The sequence below is a fragment of the Homo sapiens genome, chromosome 14, assembly GCF_000001405.40.
Source record: "Homo sapiens chromosome 14, GRCh38.p14 Primary Assembly".
NCBI lineage: Eukaryota > Metazoa > Chordata > Mammalia > Primates > Hominidae > Homo > Homo sapiens.
Window position 1 is genome coordinate 43793049 of NC_000014.9, and position 18268 is coordinate 43811316.

The 18268-nt window shown below is 35.6% G+C and overlaps 1 annotated feature.

Moving 5' to 3' along the window:
- Window positions 9552–10751: an enhancer, noted in NCBI's record as "CDK7 strongly-dependent group 2 enhancer chr14:44271803-44273002 (GRCh37/hg19 assembly coordinates)". NCBI's record gives its function as "activates an origin of replication core promoter dependent on BRD2, BRD4, P300/CBP, MED14 and CDK7 cofactors, with strong dependence on CDK7, by STARR-seq in HCT116 cells {active_cell/tissue: HCT116}" and the evidence as "EXISTENCE:reporter gene assay evidence [ECO:0000049][PMID:35650434]".

The following is an 18268-nucleotide window of genomic DNA, read 5'->3' on the forward strand; positions in this document are numbered from 1 at the left end:
ACAGTTTGGCCATTTCTGTATATTTTGAGTAGAGAAAAAGTGAAGAGAAAGAAGTGCTGTTTTTGCTTCTGAAAGTAGCCAGTGACTAATTCTTATGTCTCTCTGTTGTGTGTGCGTTGTAGCGATGCTCCTGTGTTCATTGCATCCCTCAAGCCTTTGTTGATACTTGTTACTTGGGATAGGAGGCGACTCTGCCAAAAATATTTCTCAAAATAGCTTGCATATTTGACATACATGAGAAAACTTTTATAAGCAAGTGAAAACAAACTTTGAAGTCCTGAGATGCTAGATACTTCTATAAAAAGTAATTCTTCATATTTAAAGTTAAATTTCCAAAGCGATTTGTTCATGCATTTTCATATTGCTTATTGTAAATTATATTGTTAAATTAACAAACAGCCAAGCATAAAACTTAAACAAAGAAGTATACCTCTAAGACTTAATGGATAGGGCACATTTACATTAGTTCTTTGTTAGAGTCTGTCTATTGCTTAGTGTTGACCCTCTGCCCATGGCAAACACCACGGAGTAGACTATTTCAGCACCAGGAATGACTTTGTGATATCTCTCTCTATCAGCTTTGGCAATATGTTAAGAGGCTAAAAAGGATCTGAGAAAAAAGTTTAGAAGTTGCAGCCCCTGGCAAAATTCATTAAAAGGCATGGCACAGAAGTTGAAAAGCTCATCATAGAACTACAGTCAGCATTAACACTGCAGGGCTCCAGTACTTTCCCAGAAAATGCGACACCTCCAGGCATTCTTTGATTTTAGATTGCCAGCCAAAGCAAAGCACCAAAAGCCAGAAAGAGCAAGAAAAATTGATCTTCTGTCAGCAACCAAAACGACCTATAATCTTGTTCTACTTGAAAATTGTTAGTAAGTTGCAAAAAGGCTTGGGAAAAAGGAATTTGGTGGAAACTTCTTTCCTGAAATTCTTCCAAGATCCTAATTGTTCATCAAATATCCAAGAAATATGTACCCAGGGATGCTTAGGAAAAATATTAACAAATTATACTTAATGTTTACAGTGGAAGAGATACTAAACCAAGCACTTTAAGGGCATAACTCTATTTAATTCTCACACCAACTCCACAAGGTAGGTACTACTATTTCTCAAATTTTACAAATGTTTGAATTGAAGTGAAATGAAGTTAAGTGACTAGCTCAAGAGTATATAGTAGACTATAGAGGTGGGACTCAAGATGCAATACACTTCCTTCCTAACTACTGTAAAATACTGCCTCAAAATAACATAGAAATAAAACAATCCAAACCTTTATGTCTCCTATGCCAATGAGAGGCTACTCTTCAAATATTTCCTAGAATGATTGTCTATGAAAAAATTAAGTAAGCATTGAAAGAGATTGTTAGACAACAAAACAATAATTTATATTCAATTCCCTTTGCTCAAGAATATCATTAAATCTTTTATATTCTCAATAATCAAATAATTTTTCCATGAATTGTTTATTATTATCCCTTTTCATTTTTCTTCATATATATAAAATAGGCCTTTTCTATTGTTACTCTATTTTCCCTCAAACAGAGAATCCTGGAAAACAGTTCTATTTCTTCTGTATTTTAGAATGAATATAGACTCATTAGGAAATCTTATACTTGTATGTGTGCATACCTATATATTTTTATTTTAGATTCAGGGGGTACATGTGCAGGTTTGCTACATGGATATATTGTATAATGGTGGGGTTTGGGCTTCTAGTGTATCCTTCATCTGAATACTGAACATTGTACACAATAAGTAATTTTCTAACATTCACCTCCCTCTTAACCTCTGCACATTTGGAGTACCCAGTGTCTATTATTTTCTTCTTTATGTTCATATGTACTCATTGTTTAGCTCTCACCTATAAATGAGAATATGCAGTATTTGACTTGCTGTTTCTTATTTTACTCAAGATAATGGCCTCTGGCTTCTTCTATGTTGCTGCAAAGGACATGATATTCATTTTTATGGCTGTATAATATTCCATGGTGTATATGTACCACAATTCTTTTATTCACTCATCCATTGATGGACTGTTAGGTTTATTCTATGACTTTGCTATTGTGAATAATGTGTGATACACATAAAAGTTCAGGTGTCTTTTCTGGCAAAATAATTTCTTTTTTATTGAGTAGATACCCAGTAGTGGGATTGTCGGGTTAAATCGTAGTTCTACTTTTAGTTATTTGAGAAATCTTCATACTCTTTTTCATAGAAAACACTGTATATTTACTAAGCATAACATTGTCTGACCACAGTGCCAAGTAAGGAATCCATTTTTCCCTGCCAGAAGCTTCATAATTCTTCTAAAAGGTAGTAGTAGTTCAATAAAATAGGGACATATTATTCTAAAGTGCTACCGGGAGACAAATGTAAATATTGCACTGGGTAGTCATGCTCAATCAAATGAGCCAGAGCCAAAAAAAAATTATGACACCTCACCTTGGGCTAGGATTTGTAAGAAAATATACAGATATAAAATATATCTATGGAATAATTATTTTCTTATTCATTTCCATTTTTATTTGAGTATTTTACTAATAATAGTCAAAGAATTAACTCATTGTTTGAACTGAATTTTACATGTGTGTTTTACCAGAGTCATTTTTATTATGTAAATTATTTTCTTTTTAAAAAATGTCAGTAATTTAGCCTGTCTCCCTTTGCAAATCTATTTCAAATTTATCAAGGATTTAGAATTCAAAGGAAAAAGTATGTAGGTCATTGCTAAGCCCATTAACAGCAGCATTATCTTGCCACCAAGTGGTAGTTTCTGAATTGCACTGCAGGAGTTTGTGGTATTTTCAAGAGTATATCTTTTATACCATATTTAGTATTTGCTAAAAATCATCAAACCCATTATGAATGTGAAAATAATGGATAATATATGCCTTTCCCAAAGTATTCATATTTGAGAGGTGTTTATAATAAAAAGACTTGGTATTTGTGCTTCCTAATTTCTGGATTGATTCAAACTCCATCAGGTTTCACAGTGTTCAAGATAAACCCAAAATGATTAAGTGTAAATATTCTAAAAGCTTTGTTTAGGACTTTGAATTTTAAGACATGATATCATTTGCTCTCCTTTAATCTTTGCTAAAGGTTGAATTCTGTTAACTAAAAAGATATCTGCAATGATGTAATTAGTTAAGATGAAGTCATATTGGAAGAGGGTGGTCTTCTTATCTAATACAATTAGAGAAGACAGGTATTTGGACACAGACTCACAGAGGGAAGATGATGTGCAGACACATAGGGAGAAGATAGCCATATGAGGGTGGAGGCAGAGATTAGACTAATGCATATACAAGCTGACATCAAGGATTGCCAGCAAATACCAGAAGCTAGAAGCAGCAGAAAAAAGGAGATTCTTCTTTACAGGGTGCAGAGGGCCATGATGACACCTTCGTTTCAGACTTCTAGCCTCCAGACCTGTAATACAATAAATTTCTTTTGTTTTAAACCACTCAGTTTGTGGTAGCTTGTTATGACAGCGCCAGAAAACTAAAATAATTTTCCTTTCAAACTTAAAGTGTTTCTGCTAGATCACTAGTTAGACACTGATGTTGAGAAGACTAAGATTTATGGAACATTTAGACCTATTTGGGCTCCCCCAAAGAGAACCGCCTTTACTAAATTGTTAGTTTATTCCCTGTTACCTGAAGACAAAAATCAACATAGATTCAGAATGTAAATGTCAGGATGGAGCTGAAAGTAAACAAATAAGAATAATAACAGTAAAACAATTGGAGGGACCATCTGTGTTAGCTACTTGGCTTTATCCAAAGGAAAAAATAAAATTTTTCTGTTTTTATTACAAGAGGTAGTTTCGCAATTTATGGCAAGTGGCCACCGCTCAAAGTTAGGCTCCTATACTCACACAGAGACTGAGAGGCGGGTATTACCTTCCTCAATGGTTACATTCCAAATATATGTTTCCTAGGTCCCAAACAAAGACAGTCTTGAGTTTATAAGCTAGTAAGCCTTTTAAAATTATTTACATCTTAAAGTCAGAGAAAGAATTTGCAATTGCAAGCTTATTAACATGAATGCTCTGAGAAAAGGGAGGGGTGAGTCCTCTGGGGTTAGGCTATCTGAATTCTGTAAGGGCTAGGGTGAATGGAAGATCAGGGGCCTATGGGCAGGGGCAGAAAGAAGCCTCTCTAAAGGTTAGTCAAGCTGAGGGAAAGGTTACGGCCCTCTTGGTCAGCCTTTCCCATTAGTTATTTTCAAACCTGATAGAAGGCCTTGGGTAGCATTCTCAAGATCTTCTCCCTCAGTCCAACCTAAAGCCTGTTCTTTTAATCTCCTGAATGGTTGCACTTCAAACTATCCTAGGATTCTCTATCATATGTAAAACTCTTATGCTCTGGCATGGACAACAGCCTCTTCATTCATCCTTCTCATCACTGTAAACATTTTAGAATTTAAGCCTGATTTTGTGATTCCGCTGCTTAGTCTTTCACTAATGCATCATTGTCAAAGGTCAAAAAAAAAAAAAAAATCAACCTTTGAGAAACTTCACTAACTTGGCTAATTGGAAAAGTTTTCCCCACTTCTTGCAAGACGAACGCCATCACCTGTGCAAGAAGAAAACAATTAGGTAGAGACTGACCTGAGAGAATATCACATCTTTTTAATCAAAGCTCAGCTGATAACTAGCTTTGTGACATTGAGCAAGTCACAGAATCTATGGTAAAACAACTAATCAATTAAAATTAAATTAGAGAAGATATCTCCTATTTTCCAGTCCATAGCTTATTTTGGCAAACGGGGCTTGGAAGCACAAATGTTTTCTTCTTTGGTCTTTTGTTTTTGATTAAATTTATCTCCTGCAGGTAGAGGATGTTACAGCACAAGGGAGATTTTTATATAATAATTTCAGGGACTTTATTTCCTTTTTTAAAAAGATTTTTGGGGAAAAAATAAAAGATTCACAAGGTTTTTCCCTTAGGTAGCTTTTCTTGGGTTCTAATTACCTATGCCATTAAAGGTGTTATTTTTATTATTGCCTGTGGGTATTTGTTTGAGAAATTTGATAATAAAATAGAGAAAACAGTAAAGTTTACAACCTTCACTTGTTAATACATTGACCCCGAAAGAACTCTTAGCTCTCTTGGGTAAATTTATTTTAAACTTGTTAATATCGACTTAATATAGCATTTCTCCAGAAATTATTTTAAAATATGTTGGCATAAGTATTTGTCCTTAAGAAGAGTATGTAACGAAGGCAAAATAGTCCTAAAAACTAACTCTGCAGCATATTACTTAGTAAAAAAACATCAAAATTATACATCTATTAGGAGCTCAATTTTATAATCCAATTAAAATAAAATGAAATTTGAAATTTAGAATGCATAAGGACCCTATATGTGTCCCATATTGTGATCGCATAGAACCCTGTCAAAACATTTTTAAATCATTACCAATTATAAATTACAGATGTCTCAGCAATTGTTTAACAAGGAAAATAGCAATTATTTCAATCCTCATATAATGATAGTCTTAAACAGCATTTCCAGGTGCTATTAAGGTCTCTGATATTACAGTAATTTTGAATCCAATATTAAAGAAGTCATTGTGACTTTACAATAACCAAGGGTTTTTTTTTAACTTTCTCAGGACAATTTTAATTTCTTTAATTTCTTTAGTATAGTTTGACTCTAACTTCAGGTTAGAAATGTTTATGAAAAGTATTTTTCATTAAATATAGTTTCTTGTAGGTGTTTTATAAAGATTTAATAGTAAAAATTTTATGGCAGCATCTAAATGTAACTAACTACATTAATTATATCCTGATATATCATATGACAATATCCTCTAGGAATAACTACTAATAAAGGCTGCATTTTATATGTAGACAGCATATTATACAAAATATACTCATTTTTCTATTTTAATATATGACAGATTTTATTCTATTAGTAGAACAGAAGTGAAAATTATGCTAGACAATTACAAAGGAATTGAGGAAAATTGAGGAAATTTCCTCAAATTTCCTTGTGGAAGATTACGTCGAAAATTAGGGTAACCTTTTTCTCATATTTTACCAAGCAATTATTTGATATAAACATCAATTTCCTAAACAAATTTAAGGTGAAAAAAATAGCATTTAAAGGTAAACTATAACAAAAACTATGTAAAGTTAGTATATGAATTATATGTTGTAAAGTCTTACTGATTTGTGACAAGTAGACTGGGGATTTGGCTTTGAATATCCAAGCAGCAATGAAAAGATTGGAACATAATCAATGGTAAACAACCCATTTCTCAGAGGAAGCAACACTGTTGCTAGAACAGACACCATTTAAACTCTCATGGTAATTCTATGGAATAATTGCTGATAATGTCTCCTTTTAAAAGATAAGGGAACTACAAATCAAAAAGATTAGGTAATTTTCCCAGGGTCCCACAGTTGGTAAATGGTAAAACCAGAATAATAAACTTAGAAGTTCCTATTTGTTTTTATCACTGTGTGGTACTGGCATTAAAACATCACTACTTCCTGACTTATGATGGCATAAAGCTAAAGCACTGTTACTGAATGGGAGAAACACCGTTTATCGGGAGCAAGTATAATTAGACATATAATTAATTAAACATTTTATTAAATACTTATCTTTATCAACCTCTGAATTGGTCCTGTAAAAACAGTGAGGAACAAGCTATTTTGGGGTTTGGAGAAGTTGTTGGGGAGTACCTATCAGTACATACAATGTCTCTGCAAGAATTTTTCAAGTGAGTTACAAAATAGCACTCTTTATCAGTGTAAATTAACTGAAAGGGCAAATGATTTGGTAAAGAGTAGAACATAGACCCTACCAGTTCATTCTCTCTTATATGGGCACTTTGCAGTACACGAAGTGCAAAATCCTTCTCAATAGTCCTGAGATAGACATAATCATTGCTCACACAGAGTTCAAAGGCTGAGAGGAAAAAGAATGCATCTAAATGGAGATTTTAGAAAAAGAAAATAATTCACCATGGGAATGTGAAGATAGATGAAGTGAGGAGGGGAACAAAACAGGTAATTGATATGACATTATTTTAAAGAAAATAGAAATGCCGTGAAATATTGGCTTCTACATTCTAGTACTTAGTATGACAAGGATTGCCATCCAAAGCAAAATATTATATTGTCCATGAAACATTAGTGAGGCAATAAGCAAAAAACAAAACAAAAACAAACCATAAAGAAGCTGAGAAGTATATCATATTCTCATTATACTAATAAAACACATATAAGCACATTCAACATGGTAATTTAAAAAGTTGAAACAGCTGAAATAAGTAAGTGCTGAATAAAATTCAGTGTACATTATAGTATCACAAGAGTTGATTCCCTTTGTGGGAATTATTAATGCATGTTGAGGTAAGAAGCCAGATAATAATTTGATGTCTTCATTTTCTCTCATGGAAAGGTATGTCCCCCAAATAAGGAGATTTCTCTGGGTGCCATCATGAGAGAGATTTGGACTCTTTGAACAGTATGAGGCCCTTAGAGGACAGTAGGTATGGCTAATTAATTCCTCAAAACAAATGTGCAAAGCTATTTTATCTAACCATAGATAGTCTTGCTGTCCTTTGGTTTCCATTTGCATGGGATATCTTTTTCCATGACTTTATTTTCAGTCTATGTGTATCTTTGTAGGTGAAGTGCGTTACTTGCAGGCAGCATAGAATTAGGTTTTGTTTTTCTTTTTGTCTTTTTATCCATTCAGCTACTCTTGTCTTTTAATTGGAGAATGTAGTCCATTTACATTCACTGTTATTATTGATAGATAGGACTTACTACTGCCAATTTGTTATTCGTTTTCTGGTTGTTTGGTTGGTCCTCTCATCTTTTCTTCCTTCCTGTCTTCCTTTGTGTAAAAGTGATTTGCTCTGGTAGTGTGTTTTAATATCTTGCTTTTTATTTTTTTCTGTGTCTAGTATAGGTCTTTGTTTTGTGGTTACCATGAGACTTGGAAATAATGTCTTATAACTACTCATATGGCAAGGGATTAATAATCAGAATATATAAGGAGTTCAAACAATTCAGTAGCAAAAAACAAACAACTAATTTGATTAAAAAGTGTGCAATATATCTGAACAGATATTTCTCAATAAAAATTTTAAATGGCCCACAGATATATGCTCAATTTCACTAATCATCAGAGAAATGCAAATCAAAACGACGAGATATCATCATATCTCAATTAAAATGGCTTTTATTAAAAAAACAGGAAATAATGGATACTGGGGAGGATATGGAGAAAGAGGAGCCCTCTTACACTGTTGCAAATGTAAATTAGTACAGCCACTATGGGAAGTAGTATGGAGCTTTTTCTGAAAACTAAACATAGAACTACTCTTTGACCTAGTAATCCCGCTACTGGGTATATATCCAAAAGAAAGGAAATCAGTATATTCATGAGACATTGGCACTTCCATGTTTACTGTAGCACTATTCACAACAGCTAAAATATGGAATTAATCTCAGTGTCCGCCAATGAATGAATGGATAAAGATAATGTGGCACATGTGATATAGGAAGTAGAAAGAAATTTTTTAGGTGGATAGTGAGGGTAAAAGAGTCCTCAGCAGAGCTTCCCTTTTAACAGAAAGCAGCCCCAGAAATTATCTTTTCCTAAAAAAGACTAGCCTGAAAAATTGAGCTGTAAATATAATTAAACAATCTGGAAGCTTGCACAGGGGAACACCAGCAACTGTGCCAACAGAAAAGGGATATCTGGGGAGCCATACATATCCAACATGGAGGCTCCAACTTCCTTTTTTTGTTGTTGTTACCACTTGTACAGTAAAGGAATAGGCAACATGGCACAGGGCAGGCAGACAACCTACCTACATAATAAGAGATTAGGGTGGGGACTACCAGAAATTTGTGCCCTAGCCAAATGGCACACCTAGTCCTAACCAGTTTTCATGGCCTATGCAAATGACACACCTGGTACAACCAGTCTTCCATGCCCTATGTAAATCAGACACCACCTCCTCAACAGGCATCTATAAAACCCCTTGCATTTCACTGTGGATGTGGCAACCCATTTCTCTGGGACTCCTCTATGCATTTGACCTACACCTCTACATTTCCTCCCCCTCATGCCATGGTAACCACTGTTTCATTCTCTACCTCTACGTACTTGAGCTATTTTTTAAAAAAATAGTTCACGTATTAATTGAGATCATGAAACATTTATCTTTCTATGTCTGGCTTACTTCACTTAGCATAATATTCTCCAGGTCCAACCACGTTGTGGCAAATGGCAGATTTTTTTAACCTAAATAATATTCCATTATGTATAATTTATATTTTATAGTCTTACTAATTATGTAGAAGTAATTCAGATTACTTATAAATAAAATAAGAGGACCATGGCAAACGGGAGGCAGGACAAGATTGCAGCTTCAACTCGGACAGACAGAATAGTGTGTGGAGACCCACATCATGAATTTTAGCTCCAGAATGACTGCAGGAATAAATCAGAAAACCCAAGAGGACCCACAGACCCTCTGAAGGAAGTGGATTGCTCCTGCAGGACATGGGACACACCCCAAATACTGTGAGTGTCCAAACTGTGGAAGTGGGAAGGGAGATCCTCCACCCCGGAACACACACCCCCACTGGGGAAACTGAAGGTCTAGTTTATGGGAGAAGATTCTAACCTTACCTGTAGCTGAGTCAATTTAGAGAGCTGAGCAAAATACAGGAGTAGAGGAAGCAGCGGAAAAGGTCTTATGAACTCGCTGGGTCCCCAAGCAGGCCATTCCTGCCTGGCACCAGAGGAATCCTTCAGGAGGGCAGCCAGAGAGGCAGGAAAAATGCCACAGGAAGACGGAAGTCTCCAGCTGAACTTTATAACAATTTGAACAGGGTGAGAAGCCTCCTGGCCAGAACTCGGGGGAGGGTGTGAATCCTGTGTGCAGACTCCAAAGGCAGGGAAAGAACGAAAACCCTACTTTCTTTTGTAGCTGGAAGGTGGGTAGCCTGGGGCAAGTTCTCAACCCTGCTTTCCCACTGCCTGGAAACAGACTCAATGCTGTTGGGGGGCACAGTGGGAGGAGATTGGCCCTTTGGATTGTGTGGGAGCTGGGTGAGGTCTGTGACTGCCACCTTTCCCCTACTTCACTGACAACCTGCATGACTCAGTAGAGGCAGCCATAATCCTTCAAGGTACATAACTCCATTGACCTGGGAACTTCACCCCCATCCCCCACAGCAGCCACAGCAAGACCCGCCCAAGGAGAGGCTGAGCTCAGACATACCTAGCCCTGCCCCCCAACCTGATAGGCCTTTCCTACCTCCCCTGGTAACTGAACACACAGGGCGTATACTCTTGGGAGTTCTAGGGCCCTGCCCACCACCAGTTCCTCTCCATACTACCACAGCTGATGCTCTCTGGAAAGCACCACATCCTGGCAGGATGCCAACCAGAACAAAAATAGAGCACTAAACCACCAAAGCTAAGAACTCTCACAGAGTCCAGGTCACTCCCCTGTCACCTCCATCAGAACAAGTGCTGGTAACCACATCTGAGAGACCCATATATGGTTCATATTACAGGACTCTGCAGAAAACCCCCATTACCAGCCTTCAGTCTGGTAGACTTTCTGGGTGGCTAGATCCAGAACACAGATAACAAATCATTACAGTTCAGCCCTCAGGAAGCCACATCTATAGGAAAATGGGGAAAGTATTACATCAAGGGAACACCCCATAAGACAAAACAATGAGAACAACAATCTTCAGCCCTGGACCTTCTCTCTGGCAGAGCCTATACAAATGAGAAGAAACCAAAAAACCAACTCTGGTAATATAACAAAATAAGGCTCTATAACACTCCCAAAAAATCACACTAGCTCACTATCAATGGATCTAAACGAAGAAGAAATACCTGCTTTGCCTGAAAATGAATACAGGAAGTTAGTTATTAAGCTAATCAGGGAGGCACCAGAAAAAGGCAAACTCCAATGCAAGGAAATCCAAAAAATGATACAATAAGTGAAGGGAGAAATATTCAATTACATAGATAGCATAAATATAAAACAATTGAAACTTCAAGAAACATCAGACACACTTATAGCAATGCAAAATGCTCTGGAAAGTCTCAGCAATAGAAATCGAACAAGTAGAAGAAACAAATTCACAGCTTGAAGACAAGATCATTTAATTAACCCAATCCAACAAAGACAAAGAAAAAAAGTAAGAAAATATAAACAAAGCCTCCAAGAAGTCTGGGATTATGTTAAATGACCAAGCCTAAGAATAATTTGTATTCCTGAGGAAGAAAGAAATCCAAAAATTTGGGAAACATATTGTGTCCAGAATTTATTCCTTCCGGTGGGTTCGTGGTCTCGCTGACTTCAAGAGTGAAGCCGCAGACCTTCACAGTGAGTGTTACAGCTCTTAAAGGTGGTGTGTCTGGAGTTGTTTGTTTCTCCCAGTGCATTCATGGTCTCGCTGACTTCAGGAATGAAGCCACAGACCCTCGTGTTGAGTGTTGCAGCTCATAAAGTTAGTGGAGACCCAAAGAGTGAGCAGCAGCAAGATTTATTGTAAAGAGCGAAAGAACAAAGCTTCCACAGCATGGAAGGGGACCTGAGTGGGTTGCCACTACTGGCTGGGGTGGCCAGCTTTTATTCCCTTATTTGTCCCCACCCACGTCCTGCTGATTGGTCCATTTTACAGAGTACTGATTGGTCCATTTTACAGAGTGCTTATTGGTCCATTTTACAGAGTGCTGATTGGTGCGTTTACAATCCTTTAGCTAGACACAGAGTGCTGATTGGTGCGTTTTTACAGAGTGCTGTTTGGTGCGTTTACAATCCTTTAGCTAAACACAGAGAGCTGATTAGTGCATTTTTACAGAGTGCTGATTGATGCATTTACAATCCTTTAGCTAGACACAGAGTGCTGATTGGTATGTTTACAGTCCTCTAGCTAGACAGAAAAGTTCTCCAAGTCCCCACCTGACCCAGAAGCCCAGCTGGCTTCACCTCTCAATATTTGGGTGAAGAATCAAGAAAAGCTTCCCTTATACCCAGCCTTGCTAGAGACCTAAACATCAAAATGTAAGAAGCACAAAGAAAACATGGGAAATTAATCACAAAAAGATCATTGCTTAGGCACATTGTCATCAGGTTATCTAAAGTTAAGATGAAGGAAAGAATCTTAAGAGCTGTGAGACAAAATCACCAGGTAACCTATAAAGGAAAATCTATCTGATTAAGAGCAGATTTCTCAGCAGAAACCCTACAAACTAGAAGGGACTGGGATCCAATCTTCAGTCTCTTCAAACACAATTAGCAGCCAAGAATTTTGCATCCAGTGAAACTGAGCATCATATATTAAGGAAAGATACAGTCTTTTTCGGTCAAACAAATGCTGGAGAATTTGCCACTACCAAGCCACCACTACAAGAACTGCTAAAAAGAGCTCTAAATCTTGAAACAAACCCTGGAAACACATCGAAACAGAACCTTTTTAAAGCAAAAATCTCACAGACCTATAAAACAAAAATACAATTAAAAAAATAACCAAGGTGCACAGGCAACAAATAGCATGATGAATGCAATGGCACCTCACATCTCAATACTAGCATTGAATGTAAATAGCCTAAATACTCCACTTAAAATATACAGAACTGCAGAATGGATAATAATTCACTAACCAACCATCTGCTGCCTTCAAGAGACTCACTTAACACATAAGAACTCATAAAATGAAAGTAAAGCGGCGGAAAAAGTCATTTCATGCAAATGGACACCAAAAGTGAGCAGTAGTAGCATTCTTGTATCAGACAAAAGAAACTTTAAAGCAACAGCAGTTCAAAAAGACAAAGAGGGACATAATATAATGGCAAAAGGCCTTGTCCAACAGGAAAATGTCACAGTCCTAAACGTATATGCACCTAACCCTGGATCTCCCAAATTTCTAAAACAATTACTAATAGACCTAAGAAATGGGATAGACACCAACATAATAACAGTAGGGGACATCAATACTCCACTGACAGCACTAGACAGGTCATCAAAACAGAAAGTCAACAAAGAAACAATGAATTTAAACTATGCCTTGGAAAAAATGGGCTTAACAGATATATACAGAACAATCATTCCAACAAACACAGAATCCACATTCTATTCAACAGTTCATGGAACTTTCTTCAAGATAGACTATATGATAGGCCACAAAATGAGATTCAATAAATTTAAGGAAATTGAAATTACATCAAGCACTCTTTCAAACCACAGTGGAATAAAATTGGAAGTCAACTCTAGCAGGAAGCTTCAAAACCATGCAAATACATGGAAATTAAATAACCTGCTTCTGAATGATCATTGAGTCAAAAATGAAATCAAGATGAAAATTTAAAAATTCTTCAAACTGAATGACAACAGTGTCACAACCCATCAAAACCTCTAGGATACAGCAAATGTAGTTCTAAGAGGAAAGTTCAAAGCTCTAAATGCCTATATCAAAATGACTGAAAGAGCACAAACTGACAATCTAAGGTCACACCTCAAGGAACTAGAGAAACAAGAACAAACCAAACCCAAACCCAGCAGAAGAAAGGAAATAACCAAGATCAAAGCAGAACTAAATGAAATTGAAACTAACAAACAAAAACAATACAAAAGATAAATTAAACAGCTGGTTCTTTAAAAAGATAAATAAAATTGATAGACCATTAGCAAGATTAACCAAGAAAAGAAGAGAGAAAATCCAAATAAGCTCAATAAGACATGAAACAGGAGATATTACAACTGACACCACAGAAATACAAAAGATTATTAATGCTACTATGAACACCTTTGCATGCATAAACTAGAAAACCTGGAAGAGATGAATAAATTCCTGGATACAACCCTCCTAGCTTAAACCAGGGAGAATTAAATGCCCTGAACCGACCAATAACAGGCAGCAAGATTGAAATGGTAATTTAAAAATTAGCAACTAAAAACAGTCCAGGACCAGATGTATTCACAGCAAAATTCTACCAGACATTCAAAGAATTGGTATGAATCCTATTGACACTATTCCACAGGATAAAGAGGAAACCCTCCCTAATTCATTCTATGAAGCCAGCATCACCCTAATACCAAAACCAGGAAATGACATAATCAAAAAAGAAAACCACAGACCGATATCCCTGATGAATATAGATGCTAAAATCCTTAACAAAATACTAGCTAACTGAATCCAACAACATACCAAAAAGATAATCTACCATGATCAAGTGGGTTTCATGCCAGGGATGCAGGGATGGTTTAACATACATTAAGTCAATAAATGTGATACACAACATAAACAGAACTAAAAACAAAAATCATATGATCATCTCAATAGATGTAGAAAATGCATTCAACTAAATTCAAATCCCTTTATGATTAAAACTCTCAGCAAAGTCGGCATACAAGGGACATACCTCAATGTAATAAAAGCCATCTATAACAAACTCACAGCCAACATAATATTGATTGGGGAAAAGTTGAAAGCATTCTCTCTGAGAACTGGAACAAGACAAGGATGCCCACTCTCACCACTCCTCTTCATCATAGTAGCGAAAGTCCTAGCCAGAGCAATCAGACAAGAGAAAGAAATAAAGGGCGTCCAAATCAGCAAAGAAGTCAAACTGTCACTGTTTGTTGATGATATGATTATTTACCTCAAAATCCAAAGACTCCTCCAGAACGCTCCTAGAACTGATAGAAGAATTCAGCAAATTTTCCAGATACAAAATTAATGTATGCAAATTAGTAGATCTTCTGTACACCAACAGCGATCAAGTGGAGAATCAAATCAAGAACTCAACTGCTTTTACGATACCTGTAAAAAAATAAAATATTTAGGAATCTACCTAACCAAGGAGGTGAAAGACCTCTACAAGGAAAACTACAAAACACTGCAGAAAGAAATCATAGATGACACAAAGTAATGGAAACACAACCCATGCTCATTGATGAGTAGAATCAATATTGTGAAAATGACTACTAGAATTGATAAACAGTATTAGTAAAGTTTTAGGATACAACATCAATGTAAAAAAATTAGTAGCATTTCTATACACCAACAACGTCGAGGCTGAGAGTAAAATCAAGAACACAATCTCACAATAGCCACAAAGAAAAGGAAATACCTAGGAATACAGCCAACTAAGGAGGCGAAAAATCTCTACAAGGAGAAATACAAAACACTGTGAAAGAAATCAGAGACAATGCAAATAAATGAGAAAACATTCTATGCTCATGGATTGAAAGAATCCATATAATAAAAATGGCCATACTGCCCATAGCAAGTTACAGATTCAATTCTATTTCTATCAAACTACCAACATCATTCTTCACAAAGTTAGAAAAAACTATTCCAAAATTCATATGGAGTCAAAAAAAAAAAAAAGTGTCCAAATAGCCAAGGCAAATCTAGGCAAAGGAAACAAAGCTAGAAGCATCACATTACACGACTTCAACTATGCTATAAAGCCACAGTAACCATAACAGCTTGGTACTGGCAGAAAAACAGACACATAGACTAATGGAACAGAATACAGAGCCCAGAAATAAGGTCATACATCTGGACTATATGATCTTCAACAAGCCCAACAAAAGCAAGCAATGAGGAAAGGACTTCCTATTCAATAAATGGTGCTGGGATAATTGGCTAGCCATATACAGAAGATCGAAGTTGAACCCCTACCTTTCACTATATACAAAAATTAAACTCAAAATGGATTAAAGAATTAAATGCAAGACCTCAAACTATAAAAATCCTGGAAGACAACCTAGGAAATACTCTTCTCAACATTGGCCTTTGTAAGGAATTTTTGGCTAAGTAGCCAAAAGCAATTGCAACAAAGACAAGTATAGACAAGCGGGATCTAATTAAACTAACACAATTCTGCACAGGAAAAGAAAATATCAACAGAGCAAACAGACAGCCTACAGAATGGAAGAAGATATTTACAAACTATGCATCTGACAAAATCCTAATACCCAGAATCTGCAGGCAACTTAAATCAACAAGCAAAAACCAAATAACCCCATTATAAAATGGGCAAAGGATATAAACAGACACTTCTCAAATGAAGACATAAAAGTGGCCAACAAACATATAAAAAAAAGTTCAGCATCGCTAATTATCAGAGAAATGAAAATCAAAACCACAATGTGATACCATCGCACACCAATCAGAATGACTTTTTATTAAAAGGTCAAAAACAACAGATGCTGGTGAGGCTGTGGAGAAAAGGGGACATTTATATGCTGTTGATGGGGATGTAAATTAGTCTAGCCACTGTGGAGAGCAATCTGGGGATTTTTCAAAGAACTGAAATCAGAGATATGATTTCATCAAAAAAATAGATTACTAGGTATAATGCAAAAGAAAATAAATCATTCTACCAAAAAAAGACACATGAACTTATATGTTCATAGCTGTACTATTCACAATAGCAAAAACATGGAATTAACCTAGCTGCCCATCAGTGGTAGATTGGATAAAGAAAATAAGGTACATATATACCATGGAATATTACACAGCCATAAAAAAGAATGAAATAATGTATTTTGCAGCAAAATTAATGATGCAGGAGTCCATAGTCCTAAGAAAATTAACACAGGGACCGAAACTCAAATACCGCATGTTTTTATTTGTAAGTGGGAGCTAAGAATTGAGCACACATGGATACAAATATAGGAACAATAGACACTGTGGACTACTAGAGAGTGAAGGGATGTAGGTTAAAAAACTACCTATTATGTACTACTCTTACTACCAGTGTAGTCAGATCCATACTTCAAACCTCCCTATCACACAGTAGTCTCGTGTAACAAATCTGCACACGTACTCCCCATATCTAAAAGTTGACATTTAAAAAATGTTTTTTAAACTTAATGAAAATGAAAAAACAACCTATCTAATTTGTTGGATGCAGCTACACTTAGAGGAAAATTTCTAGTAGTAAACATCTAAATTAGAAGATAATAAATGTCAAATCAATGTGCACAGCTATTTCCTTGAGAAACAAGGAAGACAACAGCAGATAAACCACAAAGCACACGAATGAAAGGAAATAATAAAGACCATAGTGGAAACAAGTGATGCGCAAAACAAAATAAACAAACACATTGTAAATAAAAGTTGATTTTTTTTAGAAAATTCATAAAGTTGATTAACCTCTAGCCAGACTTATGAGAGAAAAAGAGAGAGAGAAGAAACAAATTACAAATATCAGGAATGAAAGAGGCTCCAGTTACAGTAACATCAAATATTTAGAAGTTTTGGAATAAATTAGAGAAAGAATTACTAAGACCTATGCACTGAAACCTATAAAACATTGTTTTAAAAAATTATAGGAAACCTAAATAAATCCAGAGATATACAATGTTCATGATCCAAGAAACTCAATATATTTATTTCAATTCTTTGTAAAGTGATGTATCGATTCTATACTATCTATAGTATAGAATTTTCCAATAAAAATTCTTGCAGCCTTTTTTTAAAAAGGAATTAATCAATTTACATTCATATTGAAATGCGAAGGACCTAGAACAGTCAAAAGCATCTTGAGAAAATAACAAAGTTGGATGATTTATTATAAAGTTACAATAATCAAAAAAATATGGTACTGTGACAAGGAGAGACAAATAAATTAATGGAAGAGAACACAGAGTTCAGAACTAGACCTATATATGGTCAGTTGATATTTGACAAAAGTGAAAATGCACTTCAGTGGACAATAAATAGTCTTTTCAAAAGCAGTATGGTTCTAGGACCAATGGATAACATCTAACAAACCCACAAAACAAAAAATTAATCTCCAAACCACATCTTACATGCAAATGAAAATTAACTGAAAATAAATTTTAAACCTTAACATTGTTAAATAAAATGTATGAGAGGTCATTGCTTTGGACTAGGCCACTAAACTCAGCCTAACAGACCAACCCAATATGGATTTTAACTACAGTAGTTGAGCTTTCATTAATTGTAAGAGGTTGTGTAGCCAATTAACCAATTAAGCTGTAACCAATTAGGTTGTCTCTATACTACACTTGCATTTTCTATAAATGCTATTAGATCATGTTATTGGTTGGAGTTCTCTAAACTTGCTTTGGTTCAGAGGACTGTCTGATTATCAAATCATTTCTGTTTCACTCTGTTCTGTTTTGTTTTTCTGTGCCCAAATAAACTCAGTTAAAATGTAAACTTGTCTAAGTTTTTTTCTCTTTACCATATTTGCTGTAGTTGGCAGGATCTGAATA